Source organism: Homo sapiens, chromosome 16, assembly GCF_000001405.40.
Source record: "Homo sapiens chromosome 16, GRCh38.p14 Primary Assembly".
Classification (NCBI taxonomy): domain Eukaryota; kingdom Metazoa; phylum Chordata; class Mammalia; order Primates; family Hominidae; genus Homo; species Homo sapiens.
Window position 1 is genome coordinate 5,700,098 of NC_000016.10, and position 14,792 is coordinate 5,714,889.

The following is a 14,792-nucleotide window of genomic DNA, read 5'->3' on the forward strand; positions in this document are numbered from 1 at the left end:
CTGGGATTACAGGCGTGAGCCACCATGCCTGGCCAGTGTTCTGGTTTTATTAACTGAAATTTTAGTTTAATATTTTTTGAAATAGTTATTTGAAGTCAGCATTTAAAAAGAATGCAAACTATTCGATCAATTTTTGTGCTGAATTTATTATATGCCTCAGTATTCATTATCTTTATTCAAAAGCCCACTTTGACAGTTTTTTTTTTGGCAAGGGTTAGTGGGTGGTAATGTGTCCTGGTCTTTCTATATCTAAAAATATCTTTGTATTGCCTTCTCTCTGGAATCATAGCAGGTGGATCTAAAATATTAGATTCATAGTTGTTTCTCCTGTTATTCTATTGGCTCACGTTCCTCATGAAAGCGTTTCATGAAGTCTACGTGTCTTTCTTTATAGGCAATAATATTTTCTTCTATGTCAGCTTTTAAGATCTTTACAATTCTTTTGGTTATGCAGTTTCACTGTGGTGTATCTAGGTAGACATTTCATTGATCCTGGTTGGAACTCGCAGAGAAACAATGTGTTTTCAACTCTGGAAAATTCTCCATAATGATGTCTTCAATTTCTTCAGTTCTGTTATTGTTTTTGCCCGCTTCTGAGACTCCAATTAGATGCATGTTAGAGCTTCTCAATCCTTCTGGTTTATTACTTACCCTTCTTTTATTTTTGCCCTTCTTTAGTGCACTGTGGATGAATTCTTCAGTTATCCTTCCTATGATCTCAATTTGGGTCCCACACCCATCTGTGAACCAGTCATAGGCTGGCCAGTTGTAGGTCACATGTCCACTCCAGGAGCTGAGCATGCTGTGGTGTCACCCATAGTGTCTGAGAGTAAGAAAAGGATGGTTCTTGAAAGGTTAAGAGGAATGCTACTACTTCCAAAAGGTAGAATGACACTGGGTAGGCAAAAAGAGGAGATGTTCACTGCAAATATGCTGTGTTCTTGATCTAGATTTTTCTTCTTTTAATAGCCTCTCATCCCCATTTCTTCTTGCCCTGATGATACCAGAAAATGCCTGTTTATTGTTAAAGATCCTGGACCAAATAAATCAATCTTAAGTCTGTGTGATCTGTTTCTTGCATTGCATTATTGGCTAATTGCTGGCCTCCCCTGCCAGACTATGCTGTTTCAGCTTTGGAGACTGTTTCTTCATACTTGAAGCTAAAATACAGCATAACAGGTTATGAAGACCTTGAATTCCAATGTAATGCAAACAAATACAAAAGGAAATCATTTGAAAGTTTATTTTGCATGTAGAGTTAAGGGACTTCTTGGGAGAATATATTGTGATGCCTCAAGCTTGTCTCCAAGGAGTGCTCTCTAGCCAGCTTTGTAGAGATCACAGAGCTCCACCTTCCTCCATGTACAAAGGATGGAAGATTTTTTTTTTTTCTGGAATGCAGTAGCACCACCTCAGCTCACTGCTACCTATGCCTCCTGGGCTCAAGCCATTCTCTCCAGTGGCTGGGACTCCAGGCACACTGTACCACACCTGGCTAATATTTTTTGTATTTTTTTGTAGGGACAGAGTTTCGTCATGTTGCCCAGGCTGGTCTCAAACTTCTGGCCTAAAACAATCCGCCTGCCTTAGCCTCTCAAAATGCTGGGACTACAGGTGTGAGCCACCACATCTGGCCAAGGTGGAGGACCTTTGATGACCATCTTACCAGAGGCATTTTTTGTCCGTGGCATCCTTGAAAAATAGGTCATCTGGACGTTCATCAGGCCAGTTCAGCCTTCCTGGACCTTAGGTTTAAATGCCCATTTTGAATGGTCTTAACTTCGTAATTTATTTCTAGTAGAGGTTTTGCTAAATTCTTCCACACAGTATAAACTCTAGGAGAATGGAGACCTCTGTCTTGTTTCCTTCTGTTCTTTCAGTGTCTAGAAGAATGCCTGGTAGAAAGTAAGAGCTCAATAGACACGTGTTGATGGAGTGAAGAGAAATCTAGCCATAAGTAGCTATCAGTGAGAAGGAGGTGGGGAATTGGCTGGGAAGTCTTCTGTATTTATCCCATTCTCACACTGCTGTAAAGAACTACCTGAGACTGGGTAATTTATGAAGAAAAGAGGTTTCATTGACTCAGTTCCACAGGCTTAACAGGAGGCATGACTGGGAGACCTCAGGAAACTTACAATTATAGCAGAAGGTGAATGGGAAGCAAGCCCCTTCTTCACATGCCGGCAGGAGATAGAGCAAAAGGGGATGTGCCCCACACTTTTAAACCATCAGATCTCGTGAGAACTCACTCACTATCATGAGATAACAGCAAGGGAGAAATTCACCCCCATGATGCAGTCACCTCCCACCGTGTCCCTCCTTCAATTCGACATGAGATTTGAGTGGGGGCACAAATCCAAACCATATCACCTTGGTAATCAATTAGCTAGGCCAGCGAGGAAACTAAAGGATAATTGCTGTGCAGATGTCTGAGCATTCCAACAACTTTCCCCTAATAGCCCTGGAGAGGAACAAGGTTTGAGAGAGGATTTTATACTTCCCTGGTTGTTTTTGGACTTTGTTGAGGTCTGTTTTAACAATAAGCTTCTATAACCTCAATGAATGTTAACAGTCTATGAGTATCAATTGACCCATCTGTAAAATGGGGTTCATAGTGGTGTTGACCTCATAAAACCTTTGGGGAATAGATTGAGATGCATGAACATGCTGCTTGGGGGTTGGCAAGTAGTGATCTTTGCTGTGTGTGTTGTGGAACTAAGTTTAGTAAATGCTCATGTTTTTAGATAACACCCTCTATGCCCATATGAAAGGTCTTCTTGGTTGTGAATATGGGGAATAGGGGATACTTTCATCTTATTGTATCTGTTACTATGTGACGAATTTCAGGCCTCTGCATGTTACTATGTGACAAACATCATGTACATCATGATGTCTCTTAAAGCTTCCTTTCCATTGTGTCATCTGGTAAATAGTTACTAAATATGTCCTGTGTGCTGGAGTTGATGGTAGGCACTAAGAAGATGATGATGAAAAAGATGCCAGGTCTTTGCCCACATGGCATTTACAGTCTAAGGCATGAGAGAGATATGGAGCAAATGATCCTGTATAATTGCAACTTTGCTATGAAAGAGGGGCACAGGATACTTTGAGGTATTACAGGACACATAACACAGGGGCATGGAGCTGAGTATGGGGTAAGGGCATTGGGAAAAGGCTTTCTGGAGGATATGATATTTGAACCAAGGCTTTTTGAAAGATGTATAAGAATTGGCCATGCAAAGAGGGCAGGGAAGAGCTGCTGAGGGAGAGGAGCAAAGCCTCTAAATTGGGATGGAGTTTGGTTCACTGGAGGGTCGGCAGGTGGGTAGGAGAACTGGAGCCCAGAGGGCAAGCTGGGAGTGGCATGAGGCGAAGCCAGAGTACAAATATCACAGAGCATCCTCGTATATTCTTCCAAGGATTTTGGTCTCAATTCTTTGAGCCATGGAAGCCTATTTAAAGATTTTTAGTGCACAGATGTTTTAGTGCAGAGGTTAATGCAGAGACTCTGGAGTCAGGATGCTTGCATTTGGGTTTCAGCTCAGCCACTGAATAGGTTACTTAACTCTCTGAGCCCAGTTTTCTCATCCGTTAAATGGGGATAATGTCTTTATTGCATAATTTTTTTACAAGTGTCAAATGTGTGTGTATATATGTGTGTATATGTGCATGTGTATTTATGTGTGTGAGTATATATATATGTGTACATATTTAATATGCAACCCATGATGTAGGGATATTATTATCTACATGTTATAGATGATATGCAGTGTATGCATGGCTTACAAAGGTGCTTAGCATATTCAAAATTTTACAGAAATTTACACTAATCATTATGTGAACTATTGCCATGATTATTATGCCCAGGTTAAGCCCCCTCAAATCGTTACATGGTCGCTCAGATCTGTTCTACCTTCAGAGATTAGAGCAAGCTGAATGGTGCTCTTGGGTTGACCTGGTGAGGTTTCCAGGTTCTTATTACCCACCTTGAACTGCTTGTTGGGCCAGTACAGAAGACTTGGGGCACATCCACTGAGGACATGACAGCAAGAAGAGGGGAGGTCCCAAATGCAGAGACATTTAGTACCCAGATGGAGGAGGACAGGAATCACAGTTGCAGAAGCTGCTGGATAAAACAGTAATAATTTGGATAAAAGTTATGCAAAGAGAAGCCCCAGCCAAACTCCTCTGGAGGAACTCTGGAGCCTAATCCATCACTAGAAGGTAGAAATTAAGTACTCTCTGCTTATCTCTCAGAGAAGAGTAGCACACAGAGGGGCCCTGGGGGTCTGGGGGTCGCCACAACTCACAGGGAGTGGTGGGGTGTGATTTATTAGAATGTGCACAGCTCTGTTGGCTTTTTGTCCTTTGAGCAGTGCTGGGAGCCAACCAGGCCCAGCTACTTTGCATACTAATAAAGATTGGTGCATGTAATTATTCAGCAGTCACACCGTTATTCCTCGGAGATAAATCATCCCTGGTTTATTTACCCCTCTTCCCTCAAGTTATTTTAAGTTGCTTTAATGCACCGGATCTCAAGTTGAGTGGAAGTAGCCAACTACTTGGGTTTTTGACATTCTGAGGTGGCTAGGGTTTCATTTGGCTCATTTATATTTTGGGGGGCTCTCCCAGGACCCCTCAACTCCATCCTCAGCTTGGCCGGGTTACTATGTGTGCTCTGGCAGCACATATAATGACAGGGTGAGTTGGCCAGTGCCAGGACCCCCTTTGAGTTGTTAGGAACTTTTGGAAACATGGGGTAATTTGAATTAGGAATGAGACTTATCGGGCTTCTTACATCATGGGGATTTAACTACCCTCCTTCAACCAAAAAGTCATATGGGAATGAGGCAGTGGGAAAACCTGCTCATCTCCAAGGGCACATGTGTAGATCATCTCTTCCACCAGGAATCTCTCCCTCCAGCCCATTTTTGACCCACTGGTATCCATTTTGCAAAATCAAATATGTAACCACACATTGTATGTCATTGAGGAGTAGGCGAAATTATTATTAGTAAAGATAGGGTAAAATAAATCATTTGGTTCCTGCAACCTTTGATCTTTGTCCTTGAAGGCTATCTTCCTATCTTCCATCATGCTTCATATTCTTTCCATCAGCACCAAAACCAGCACCATCCATGTGCTAATGGATCTCTTAGGTTTGTTTTTATTTTTTTAGTTTTAGACAGGGTCTTGCTGTCTTGTCCAGGCTAGGGTGCAGTGGCATGATCCTTGATCACTGCAACCTCGAACTTCTGGGCTAAAGCTATCTTCCCACCTCAGCCTCCTGAGTAGCTGGGACTACAGGCATGCACCACCATGTACAGATAATTTTTTAATTTTTTGCGGAGAAGGGGTTCTCACTATATTGCCCAGGCTGGTTTCAAACTCATGGGCTCAAGCAAGGATCTCTCAGCTTTTAAACACCTCTGTAATCACGAGCGAAACATTGACATTAGTACACACAATTTGTTTTTTGGACTAACAGCAAACTAAGAAACATTCAAAGACAGAGAGGAGGCAACTAATAATCAATGTGGGACCATTAAGTGACTGAGCAATGAGGAGAGAAAGAGATGAGACCTGACTCATAGGACCTCTCATCATCCTAACAAGGGGATTATGGAAGCAAAGCAGGTGGGCTTTTAGGGATAACAAGATCACTCTGTCATTCTCCTGGGATACCGCATCTGTGTGCGAGGCCTCTTGGCTTTGCTTATTATCATATCCGTAGTGGCTAGAACAGTTCAGTGGAAACAAAATAGGTGCCTGATAGATGTTTCTCAGACACATGAACTGATCGTGTTGCTTTTTTTTCTGTCTTTTTTATTGAGACAGAGTCTTGCTCTGTTGCCCACGATGGAGTGCAGTGGTGTGCTCTCCATTCACTGCAACCTCTGCCTCCCAGGTTCAAGCAATTCTCTTGCGTCTGCCTCCTGAGGAGCTGGGATTATAGGTGCGTGCCACCATGCCTAGCTAATTTTTGTATTTTTAGTAGAGATGGGGTTTCACCATGTTGGCCAGGATGGTCTTGAACTCCTGACCTCAACTGATCTGCCAGCCTCGGCCTCCCAAAGTGCTGGGATTACAGGCGTGGGCCATGGCTCCCGGCCATGTTGCTTTTTTTCCTATGATTTTTGTCTTAGAACATTCCGAAAGTTACGAAAATGTGTACAGGTGAGGAATTTGGCCAGTTTAAACATGTTTCCTGATGTAGCATGTCTGGAAGATGAGAGTGGAAATACAGTTCCAAGCAAGCTGATTTCAAGGTGTCGATTGCCCCGAATCACCAAGCACTGCCTTGCTTCTTGTTTAGCAGGAAACCTGCCCTCTTATTTCCCTGGTGCTCCCCCGTCATTTATGCTGGGTGAGTCATGATGCAGAGAGGGTTGAAAACACGTCCTGGGTGGGAGAAAGTTAGTCATTAAAAATTTATCTTCTCTGGGAGTTTGTTTTTAAAACTTTGGACTAGAAAATGTGTACAGGAATGTTTGGCTTTTAATAATTAAATCTTGCATTGTTTTAATTTTCTCCAGAGTGTCTCTCTGGAGGAAAATAACGTTGCAATTCCAATATTTATGTCTTTCCTAAAGCACTGGTTGCCAAATGAAATGATTTTGGTATTTTTTTTCCTACGATGGTTGATGGTTGATTTGTCTCCGGGGGCACCCCTATGAATTTGCAGGAAGGACTTAATGTTCTGTGAGAGTGGGGAGGAATCACTGGGGCAGGGGGCAAGAGGGCATGGCTTTTTTTTTGGTGTAGGAGGATACAGGATTTAGGGTGGGGTTCCTCCAGCCCTAGCCTAAGCCCACTCTGTAGGTGGCCAGTATCTTACCTTCATACACAGTCCGTTTTCAGCAGGGAGAAGAAGCCAAGCGTCCTGCGTAAAAGCAATTATTTGTCTGAATGCTTGAGGCCATCTCTCTCTCTCCACCTCCAGCAGAGCACCCATCCAGGGGTGTCCAGACACAAACACATGAGAAACACCCAGCCAGCCAAGTCAGGATTTGGATTTTTCACGACTCTCCCATTCCCAGACAATACAAGCCTCATTAGTGGGGAGCTTCTCTTTGTGAGCCCATGAGTAGGACTCACACCTGTAACTATCTCTAATTCATCCAAGCCCTCTTTAAACAGAAAGAGGAAATGTGTGCAATTGGAATCTCTGGGCTTGGCTGCAGCTGTTTGGGAGAAAGAAAATTGCTTCTGTAATTTCTGCTTCTGCTGTGTTTGATTTTGTAAGTCAGTTCTTTAAGAGCCTCAAGGAAAAGGGTGTGCATTTTCTCAGAGCTGAAGTGTCTTGTGCTAGGAATGGGGGACATGAGTGCCTTGCTCATGAAGGCGGTTGGACCCAGATTGAGTTTAGTAACCACTAAAGATGCCAGGTCCTAATTGGATAGCTAACACCTATGTCTGCCATCTGCAAGGAACTCAGAGAATCATTGAGATAGGCAAATATCATGCCTTCCCCCAACACTCCAGCTATAAGTACAATATTTAAAGGCACAGTTTCCAGGGAAGATACAGCTGGCATCACGTGTGGCTATGAGGTTTGCTGGTGTTGCATCCTTGTTTGGAAACCTTAACTTCTATGAGCAGGAATAGCCTCATCTGTTAAATAGGAATGATACTAATACCTTATTGGGTTCCTTGGGGATTAGGAAAACCTGTGTAAAGGACATGGTGGAATACTTGCTGCTAAGACACTTGACAAAGATTTATTAGGAAGGAAGTAGAGTAGTAGTTAAGAATGCCATTGGAATCAGACAGACTTGGGTTCAGTTTCCAGCTCTGTACTTAATACTATTTGTAACTTTGAGGGTGGTATTTCTAAGCTTTAGTTTTCTATTCACTAGGTAGGGACCATAATACTCATCTCAGGTGAAATTTGGCAGTGTATTCAAAGGGTTCACCACATGGTTAATTATTGTTGTTGAAAGAGAGAATAAAAGAAGGAGGCTAGTTGCTGTCCATACCAAACAAGACGCTTGTTTCGTGGGCTCTTCCTGGAACCTCTTATTTTCTGAAAACCCGAAGTAGTCAGACTGGAACTGGATGAATACAGAGAGAAACACGTTATCTCATGAACTTGAACTTGTATGACTTCATTCATTCAGTTCAAGTAATTCTTGTATTCATTATAATTTTGCTTATTCATTTGGTAAATATGTATCAAGCAGATGAAGTATGAGGCACTGTCCTAGGTGTTAGAGATAAAGGACAAAAAGACATAGTCCTGCCTCTCAAATTCATTTTGAGCTTCCATATACATAGATTCCTTTGATAGTTCAATCAAAAACATGGTTTTTCTCTCAAGCAGTAGGGTGAGAGAGAATAATCTGTACAAACATTTAATTTATAATTTCAGGCTATTAGTAGATCCACCTGCGTCCAGCTGGATCTGTGTCTTCCATCTCTTTGATTTTTTGCGTATGTCATTTTTATGAAAACAGAATCCTGCTTTAAGCAGCTGACCCCCACCACCTCAACCATGTGTCTTCCAGTTTCCAGGAGCTGGCATGGTTCATAGATTCTCCCCCTAATATACAAACAGATACCTGTTTACTGCACAACACATGCCACCTACCATTGGTTGTTCCAGTGGTATATCTGGCACCGGCTTGGGCAATAAAAATCCATCTTGGGGATATTCAAACTGAGCCTGGGAGAGGGCCATTTTTCTCTGAAAGAAGTAGCTGTGAGATGAGGGGCTTGGGAGCTGCCATGGGCCACAATTTCTAACTTTTGGAAGAAACATGTCTGTCATTATTGAGAATAAACCCAATTGTCATAGAAGAGGAAAGACGAGAGTGAGAGCAAGAAGAGGAATGAAAACAAGAACAAGAAAGAGAGCAAGAGAGAACACGGGCCATGGCAGTGTTAGCATCTCTTGTTTAATTTGTTCTTGAGACCCAACCGAAATATTTCCCTACTCAGGATTTCGATATTCAACCCCATAATAGATCCCGTGAGTCATCACATTCTACTCTTGCCTAACCTTGCTAATGTTGAGTTTCTGTCTCTTGCAATCCAAAAACAGTCTTGATGAATACAGCATCTGTGGATCTGTTTCTGGGCTCCAGTGAGAGATAGATTAGAAAATGGGCTCTGATGGCTTTGTGTAATCAGTGCCATGGTAGAGAACACAGGATGCCAGGCAGCAAAGACGATGGGTGCATAATCAGGAATTCCACAAAGCTCTGTTCTGTTATTTTGGGAAGAGTAAGGAATGGTTCTTCTGTTCTTTGATCAGTGAGCATGTGCCTGAATATGACCTAATTGAAATGAACCCACCTGGCTTAGACAACTGGCAGAATAATGAGAATTTAAAACAGATTTTCGTGATGGCATGTTTTATCATTCATTTCCTTTCTCCTCCCAAAGTATCCTAGGGTAAGTCTTCAGCAAGACAAATGGATGATCTTGGCCTGTATGTGTCGATTATGACATTAATCCATCTCTCATTCTCCCAGGCCTCCTCCTGACACTTCCTGTTTAACAGCAAGCATCATTAGCTAGGTGTGTCAGGCACTTGTCTTGCTGCATTCTTACATAGGATAATATTGTCTTTTTCATTCAGGAGTTGAAATTCATCTGACACCTGGTATTCTATGGTATATATATATAAAGTTCATTCAATGAGATCTTTACACCAATATCTCCCATTTATGAAGCCACTGTAATCTACTGGGTGTTGTATCAGTTTCTTTATATATATATATATATATATATATATATATATATTTTTTTTTTTTTTTTTTTTTTTTTTTTTTTTTTACCATTTCCTTTATTCTTCACAACGGCCCCGTGAATTATGCATTATTGCCCTTGGCTTCAGATGAGCACCTGAGAGATGAGGATATCTATCCCAAAGGTGTTGGGTCTCTAACTCAGGCGCATTGGGTTCTACAGCCTGTACGCTGAAGGGTTTTGTGATTTTTAAGTGCCCATGTATCTTCAGCACCCGGGACAGCTCCTGAGTGGCTGGATAAGACATCCAGGTTATCTGAAGATGCATGTGAGAGATTATAAGCTCCCACGAAATTCCTACTCAGAGCCATGTGAGTTTAGAGCCAAGGGTTATATGACAGTGGATAGGGTCCTATTTTGTCACTTTGCAGATGTTGAAACTGAAGCAGCTAATTGTGGATCAGGTAACCCAATGTCACACAGCTTGTAAGGGCTAGAGCGAGGCTTGGCAACCATGCTTTTGTTTGTTGCTTTCACTGCGCTCTCTGTTAAATGTAGGGATGGCTGCCTTCTCCTGCTAGTGCCATTGACATGGGTCTCTTCATTTGCTGCTTGGTAGCCTTGCGCAGTTGCGGGCCTCCAAGAGGAGGGGAAGAGACTTTGCCGTGGCTGCTGCTGCTATGCTAACACAAGTCACAATGCTGCCCTAATTGTCTGTATTATGAGGATGGCAGGCCTGGCACATGGGTTCTCTCAAGGCAGCTTCCCAATTAATCTTTTCTTCTCTGATTAAGGCTCACGTCCTGTGATTGTTGTGGTTGGGGAGGGTTGGTGCACAGGATGTTTTAAAGAATTGCGTGCAGTGGAGTGAGTGAAGGAATTTGGGGTTAACCATGCTGACATTGTCTCAGACATGATCACTTTGTGGTCCGGAACATCTGAAGCAACATGGAGCCTATTACCGGCTCTGTGTCCCTGGGGACCCCTGGCGTTTTCTGGGCTTGTTGGCAGTGGTTGCATTTGTGTGCCAGGCAGGGCAAGAGCTGTTGTGGCTCTGCAAGACCTGGGGGAGCCAGAAAGGGATGACGGGTCCTCTTTGTCTTGGTATGAGCAAGGAAAACATTAGCTTATGCTGTGTGTTAAGTTTTCCTTCACCTATTAAAAACATATTTATTGCAAAACCATCCTAGATCAGTTCTTGTGCCTGACCCTAGGGTAAGTGGGAAGCACAAGGAGACATGCCTCTGGACTCCCAGGGTGTTTGATCTGGAAGGGGAGAGAGTGAATAATCAAATTATTGTAGTAATGATTGCATAATTGCAGACAAGAGAGATTCTCTGCAGGCATGGGACAGTTTATTAATTTGATGTAGTAAACACTTATATAGCACTTGCCCTGTGCATGCCATGATTCTAAATGCTTTCTAATAGTAACTCATTTAATCTGCAGAATAACCCTGTATGGTAAGTATTGGTATTAGTCATTGTTATCTACATTGCTCAGATAAGAAAATGGAGGCACAGAGAGGTTAAGTGGCCCAAGGTCACACAGCTAGTAAGTGGCAAAGCTTAGATCTATAACCATATAGTCTTATTTCAGAGTTCATGTCCTTAACCATTCAGGATACCACCTTTCAGCTGAGAAAATACACTGGAGAACTTTTTCTCTGTCTGGGGTTTGGACAGACAATGTCACTGTGAAGTGACAGTTGGGGTGCGATTCAAAGCAGGAGGAGGAAGAGGTAACGAAATAAAGAGCATTAGGTGGCAGGAACAGTGCAGGCAAAGGCCGTGGTCATAGGGAGCCTGGAAGATGTCCTGGGCAGCTTTGGGTGAGATGGGACTGGGGAGGTGAACTGGAACCAAATCTTAAAGGGCCTTGCATGCCTTATTAAGAATTTTTTGGTCTTTACTCTCAGGAAAATGGGAATTCAATAAAAGGTGGTAAGCAATCAGGTTTGCTTTTTGAGGAAAATTGCTGTAAATATGGAAATCCATGTGAATCTAAAGGACCCAGCACTTGACAGGCTGGAGACTTTCCAGAAAATGATGATGGTGATGACAAAAATAGTAACAGCCTCTATTTATTGAGTGCTTATTTAGGACCATTGACCTGCTATGCATTAGTTTGTTCTCACAGTGCTAAAAAGAAATATCCCAGACTGTGTAATTTATACATGAAAGAGGTTTAATTGACTCATAGTTCCTCATGGCTGGGAAGGCCTCAGGAAACTTACAATTATGATGGAAGGGAAAGCAGGCATGTCTTACATGGTGGCAGGCAAGAGAGAGAAGTGAAGGGGGAGGAGCCCTGTATAAAACCATTACATCTTGTGAGAGCTCACTCTCTATCATGAGAGCAGCATAGGCGAAAACTGCCCCCATGATCCAATCACCTTCCACCAGGTCCCTTCTTCAACACCTCAACACCTGGGGATTACCATTTGAGATGATATTTGAGTGGGGACACGAAGCCAAACCATATAATGCTAAATCCTTTATTAGCAATACCTCATTTAGTTTTCACAACCACCTTCTAGGAGATTAGAAATATTATATTTATTATGTAGACAAGTGCTCTAAGGCTTAGGGAATTTCAGCAGCTGGTTGGCATTACAGGCTGGCACCTGCCAGGACCAGTTATTGGGCTCAGATCTGATTCCAAAGGTTTGGCTTTCACGCATGCTGATGAATTCTTATCTCAAGAGCAGAGGGAAGAGTATGTGAGGCCTCTCAGAGAATGACTGTTAGCGGCTGGTGTTCTAGGGGCTTTTCATCATCTATGAGCTCACTTAATTCCCATAACAGGTAGGTGACTTATGTGTTATTTGTCCTCATGTGTAGTTTAGGAAATGGAAGTCCAGAGAAGTTGCCTGTGGTCACGTGGTTCATAAATAGCAGAGTCCAGATTTTAACAGAGTCCAGATTTTAACCCAGTTCATCCAGCTGCAAGGAAGCCAGTGGTTAGATGATCTGAAGAAATTTCCTGGCTCCCTCTGATCTGCATTCCTAGTTTTTAATGCTACTTCTTTTGCCACATACACTTGACTCCACCCAACTTCCACCCCCACTCCATTTCTGTGCTGCAGAGTTCACTCTGTTTTTAAATATTGACTAGTCATGTTTTTCCATGGAGATTGAACCCAGCTCCAAATGCTGTATCATGATTGGTCTCTGAGGACATCCTTGTAGTAGTACATGCTGGTGGTTAATTTGAGAATAGTGGATGAGACTTTAGCCAGTGAGAGGTAAGGAAAAGTCTGTTGGGTAGGGGATGTGCAGAAAGTTTTCCTTTCCTTTAAGCAAGCATCCAAAACTTTTCTCTAGTTGAATGAACCGACACTGAATGAACTTGCTTCTGGATTTCTTGTTCTGTGTAATCATACTGTCTTTTTATTTGCTTAAGCCATTTGGGGCTAATTTCTTTTGTTACTCGAGGCCAAAGGTACTTCAAATGACAGGCAGCCTTTTGGATTCATCCTCGGTAACCTTTGAGCGATGAGGGAGAGAGAAGGAGAAGGACAAGGAAGGGAGGAAGGGAGTCAGGGACTTAAGTACAGGAATGAGATTAAGGGGCGTTTAAGAGCTCTTCTTGCCATTTGAACCATAGAGATTGGTGAAACTTGTTCTTGTTTCATTGTTGCTGTTTTTGAAGTAAAATATTTCCCTGTCTGAGCTAATCTGGGCTTTGATCCCCAAATATCTCATCTTTGTTGACTCTTTGTTCCTAAGGAGGGTATCTGTCTCTCCAAAGGATGCCTCTTTTAAGGTTCTAAAAGCCCAAACTAGTTGATCTGGAAATGCCCGGATCTTTGATTCTTTAAAAAAGTACATTCTATAAGGAGCTATGAGGAATGCTGCCCACACAGCAGGTTATGATTTTGTAGATAAGTTCTTGCTCTATGTCATTGTGGTGTCTGGACGCACAAAGTGCCCACAGCATCACAGAGAGACTCATGCAAACTGCCCCCCTCCCTGGAACATTGGCTTGATTTTGCCCAAGTCGATAAGAGCTAGAACTCTGAGGGCTTGACCATGTAGACAGTGAAGTACAAAGACTCGATCTGCAGTGACCTTCTTGTTGGAAGTGAGGAGGAAGCCCAGATCATCTACGTTGCAATCTTCCAGTGACCTCTTTCTGGGAGACGTGGGAGATGTTCTAACAGAGCTCAAATCTGCTGAGCTTTTTGAGGTTTTAGGAAGCTCACTCACAGGGCTTGTTACCTAATTAGGAGGTAAAGAAAGGCAATAAAATATGAGCCTATGCACTCCATAAATTAGGAGCCGCCTTCAGTTCTCTTTGCACAGAAGAGCTAGGGACTATCTTGCATTTCCACCATATCTGTTTATAAACATACTTGGGATACCTTGCAGTGATAGCCTCATTCTTTACTCTTCTCTGCCTTTTGCCATGAGGGCTTGTTGTGCTCTCCCATTGTGAATCTGCACATAGTCATGTAACTTGCTTTGGCCAATGGCTCAAGGCAGAAATGATAATGTTCTGATTCTGAGCTCAGACCTCAAGAGGCTCTGCCTGTCTTCACCCATTGCCTTGAACTGCTCCCATCATGATGAGAAGAACTTCCCCATACCAATGACTGGTCACTGGAAATGGATACAGAGAACATGGAATAGAGACGTGCCCAGCTGAAGCTCGAAGAGACCACCCAAAAGCTGGCCAGCATCAGACATGTGAGCGAGCCCAGGTGCATAGGCAGAGGTATCTGGCCAACCTGGGTGGGACCTTAGATGTGTGAAAAATAAACCCTTACAATCGAATGTCACTGAGGTTGTGGTGTTTGTTATACAGCATTACTGTGGCAATAGGTAACAGATACAAGAAAGATGTGCTTAGTAACGGTTTTCATTTGTCATCTCTGCAAGAGTATAAACAGTTTGTGGGTAAGGAAATAACAAAAGCCATAATAATAGGAAGGATTGTAATACTGTATTGTGCATACCACACTGAGTGATTTATCACTATAATCATATCAGCCTCGTAAGGTAGAAACTATTATCGTCACTGCGTCACAGATGTGGGAACGGGGACTTAGAGGAGCAGTGAGCCAAGGTCACGTAGCTAGTAGACATCTCAGTGAC

General features: G+C 42.7%; 1 protein-coding gene across 4 annotated transcripts in view, besides 2 other annotated features; it reads left to right on the forward strand.

Annotated features, from left to right (window-relative positions):
* Positions 1-14,792, forward strand: part of RBFOX1 (RNA binding fox-1 homolog 1) — a 2,473,620-nt gene that overhangs the window by 460,377 nt on the left and 1,998,451 nt on the right. The gene's annotated exons all lie outside the window — the stretch shown is intronic.
* Positions 5,838-7,037: an enhancer, noted in NCBI's record as "CDK7 strongly-dependent group 2 enhancer chr16:5755936-5757135 (GRCh37/hg19 assembly coordinates)". NCBI's record gives its function as "activates an origin of replication core promoter dependent on BRD2, BRD4, P300/CBP, MED14 and CDK7 cofactors, with strong dependence on CDK7, by STARR-seq in HCT116 cells {active_cell/tissue: HCT116}" and the evidence as "EXISTENCE:reporter gene assay evidence [ECO:0000049][PMID:35650434]".
* Positions 9,878-10,078: a silencer, noted in NCBI's record as "peak2483 fragment used in MPRA reporter construct". NCBI's record gives its function as "represses an SCP1 promoter by STARR-seq MPRAs in K562 erythroleukemia cells {active_cell/tissue: K562}" and the evidence as "EXISTENCE:reporter gene assay evidence [ECO:0000049][PMID:32103011]".